Source organism: Homo sapiens, chromosome 20 (genome assembly GCF_000001405.40).
Source record: "Homo sapiens chromosome 20, GRCh38.p14 Primary Assembly".
NCBI classification, from domain to species: domain Eukaryota; kingdom Metazoa; phylum Chordata; class Mammalia; order Primates; family Hominidae; genus Homo; species Homo sapiens.
Window position 1 is genome coordinate 40,651,709 of NC_000020.11, and position 3,234 is coordinate 40,654,942.

Genomic DNA, 3,234 nt, shown 5'->3' on the forward strand with positions numbered 1-3,234 from the left:
TTTAACTGGAGCTGACAAATGATCATGCTTCACGAAAGAACTACAAACAGTGCCTAATTAGACACAGCAGCTTTCACAAGACCCTCAGCCTGTCTAGGCTTCATTTCCATGTTCCTTAAGATCCTTTGCCCCATAAATGTAGTGTGGGAAATAGACGGGCCTGGCAAGTCTTTTTAAGTCTCTAAGTCCAGTGCTGTGAGGAAGAATGGATTTGTCAAAACAATGGCTGATGGTAGTTGAGCACTTCATACCCATCCATTAAATTTGGTCCTCATGGGCCGGGCGTGGTGGCTCACGCCTGTAATCCCAGCACTTTGGGAACCGAGGCAGGCAGATCACCTGAGGTCAGGAGTTGGAGATCAGCCTGGCCAACATGGTGAAACCCCGTCTCTACTAAAAATACAAGAATTAGCCAGGCGTGGTGGCGCATGCCTGTAATCCCAGCTACTCGGGAGGCTGAAGCAGGAGAATCTCTTGAACCTGAGAGGTGGAGGTTGCGGTGAGCCAAGATTGTGCCATTGCACTCTAGCCTGGGCAACAAAAGCAAAACTCTGTCAGAAAAAAAATTGGTCCTCTACAACCCTGCATAGTGGATTGTATCATCCCCATTTTACAAATGGGAAAACTGAAGGTTGTCCAGGAACAACACAGGTGGTAAGGAGAGGAGCCAGGATTCAAATCCACAACTCTTCACTCCATAGCCTGTTTTGTTGTTGTGTTTCCCAATTCATGTTGATTATTTTTCTCAAATGGATATAGTTTAAAAGAAGTTGATTCACTAAAATAAGTTCGAAGTTGTGGCTTGAAGGGAACTCCCGGCAGCCCATTCAGGCTGCCTGGGAGGCCCTTCTGTCTTGAAAGGGAACATACAGTTGGCTGGCTTTGCCTGAAGGAGGAGGACTGGCCCAGCCAGCGGCTGCAAAACCTATTGGGTTCAAGCATTCCAAAAGAAAACACCCCCTTCACCAAGAATGTACCTCAATAACCACAGAAACAGGCCCCAAAGAAGAAAAAGGGGCTTGGGGGAGCCTCTGACTGGCTGCTGGTGATGTCATGCCCCAGCCCAGAATGCCTGTAAGAGGGCCTACTCTGGGCGACTTTATGGGGGCTTTGGTGTCTGCATGCTCCCTCCCTGGCAGCCAGGCCAGCATGACGGCTCCTGTCCGCCTCCCTGCCCCCTGCACATCCCCAGCGTCTCTGCCCTGGCCTCTCCCAGCCTGTAATTACTTTCAGTGCCCTGCTTTATGGGCTCCAGCGAGGGGGACTTTGCAGCAAGAGGAGGTTCCTTGAAAGGGACCCAGGAATCTTTCCAGAAGGGCCTCTTTCTCCCTGCTCTCTGAGAGGCTTTGAAAGCAGAGCCAGGAGGCATTGTGGGGCCTGGCCTCCTCAGACACCCTCCCAGCTCCCAGGTCTTCTTACCTGGCCCACTGGCTGGCACTCCCTTGCCGACAATCTTTCAGTTGTCCCTGGGGACTCTTAGAATAAAATAAAAATCATTCCCTGTGGCTTCCAAGTCTGGGGTCTGCCTCATCACTCACAATCCCCCACCCCCACCCCCACAGACCAGCTGTAATGGTCCACCCACCATTCACAGACACACCACCCTTCCTTGCTTCTGAGCTTCCTCAAATGCCGGTCCCCCTACTGGAACACTTGTCTCTCTTCTCTCTCTGCTCACCCCATTTTAGCCGACTAACTCCCACTCACCCTTGAGGTCTCCATTCTTTTCCTTCCATTCTTTTCCTTCAGGGATCTTCTGTGGACCTCTGTCCCAGCTGGGCTCAGTGCCTCCTCTTCTAGGCTCACAGAGCCCCCGAGCTTTGTCCTATGCCATGGTCATTTGGGTCCCTCTGGAAGTAAACTCTACAATGAAGATTGAAGGTAATTTATGTGGAAGGTGAACGCAACATCTGCTGGCAGGGAAATGAGAAATGAGGCAGGGACAGGAAGGCAGCCAATAAAGAATATTATCAGGCAAGTTCCCACCATGGGCAACTAGAGGTTCATTCTGCTAGGAGCTCCAGAGTTCAGTGTAGAACACACAGCTCTGAGTTATCTCAGCCTAGAGGGAAGGAGCCGTGGTATTAATCCACCAGGCCCATCAATCATTGGTTGGAGCTATTCCAGATGGACGTCAATTTTCTAGCTTGCCCCAAGTGTAGGCACAGTGGGCTTGGGCAGGGAGAGAAAGTCCCTGGGCTGGGACTGAGTAGTCAGGGGGAAGTCAGGACTACAACGGTGAGGTCCAAAGGGAGATAAGTAGGCCCTGACATCTGCTCTACTCACAGCCCCACCAGCCCACACTGCAGTTGCCTCTTCTCTGCTGTCTCTTCAACCAGAAAATAAGCTTCAGGCAGACAGGCATCTCTTCAATTTTGTTTATGACTGCATTCTCTACATAGGCACATTGGGTGAATCAAAATTATGTCCTGCTTGGGGTGGGTCCACAAGCCAACCACTGGTTGAGGGATTCTATCACATGTCCTCACTTTTCCAGCTAGTAAACCCAAAGATCCCAGAGGCAGAGCCTTGAGAAGAAACTTGGAGCACCTTCCATTATTATAAGTGTTGGCCAGAAACTTCGAGGGTCAAGCTTGCCCCTGGAAGATCCATGGGCAAGGACAACCGCAGGCAGAGCCAGAGGCCTGGATTCAAATCCCAGATCTGCCAATTACTGTGTGGCCTTGGGCAAGTTGCTCAATCTGTCTGTACTTCAGTTTCCTCAACTATAGTAACTCCATAAGGTAGGCACAATTAATAGCATTATTACAAAATTCTAATGAAATTGTGTATGTAATATGTTTGGTCATCATTAAAATGATTCTTACCTCCTAAGTATATAATGAGCTGCCTGGATTTTAAAAAAAATGATTTTTACAGAAAAGCCAGGTTTAATCCTAAACCTTAAGGGTTCCCTGATACACGCACCTACCCTATGCCAGGCATTGTGCTAGAGGCATTACACACGTCCAGCAGCCCATCCACTACGGGCCTGCCTTCAATGGCACTTCTAACCTATTGTGCTTTGAACACCTCTAGTGATAGGATACTCACTACATCACAAGGGAACCAGATAGATTTTCAAACAGCTCTAAATGTCTAATACAGAACCATGCTCACAGGAAACATGGAGCTCTCTTTGCCCACAACAGCCTCTTGGAAATATGAGGGAGTGGTCCTGATGTCAGCTTTCTCTCTCCCACATCAGGAGCGTGTTCCCTCACAGAACATGAC

The 3,234-nt window shown here is 49.3% G+C and overlaps 1 annotated feature.

Annotated features, from left to right (window-relative positions):
* Positions 1,147 to 1,646: an enhancer, noted in NCBI's record as "H3K4me1 hESC enhancer chr20:39281495-39281994 (GRCh37/hg19 assembly coordinates)". NCBI's record gives its function as "activates a minimal SCP1, AML or CMV promoter by ChIP-STARR-seq in primed H9 embryonic stem cells {active_cell/tissue: H9 hESC(primed)}" and the evidence as "EXISTENCE:reporter gene assay evidence [ECO:0000049][PMID:30033119]".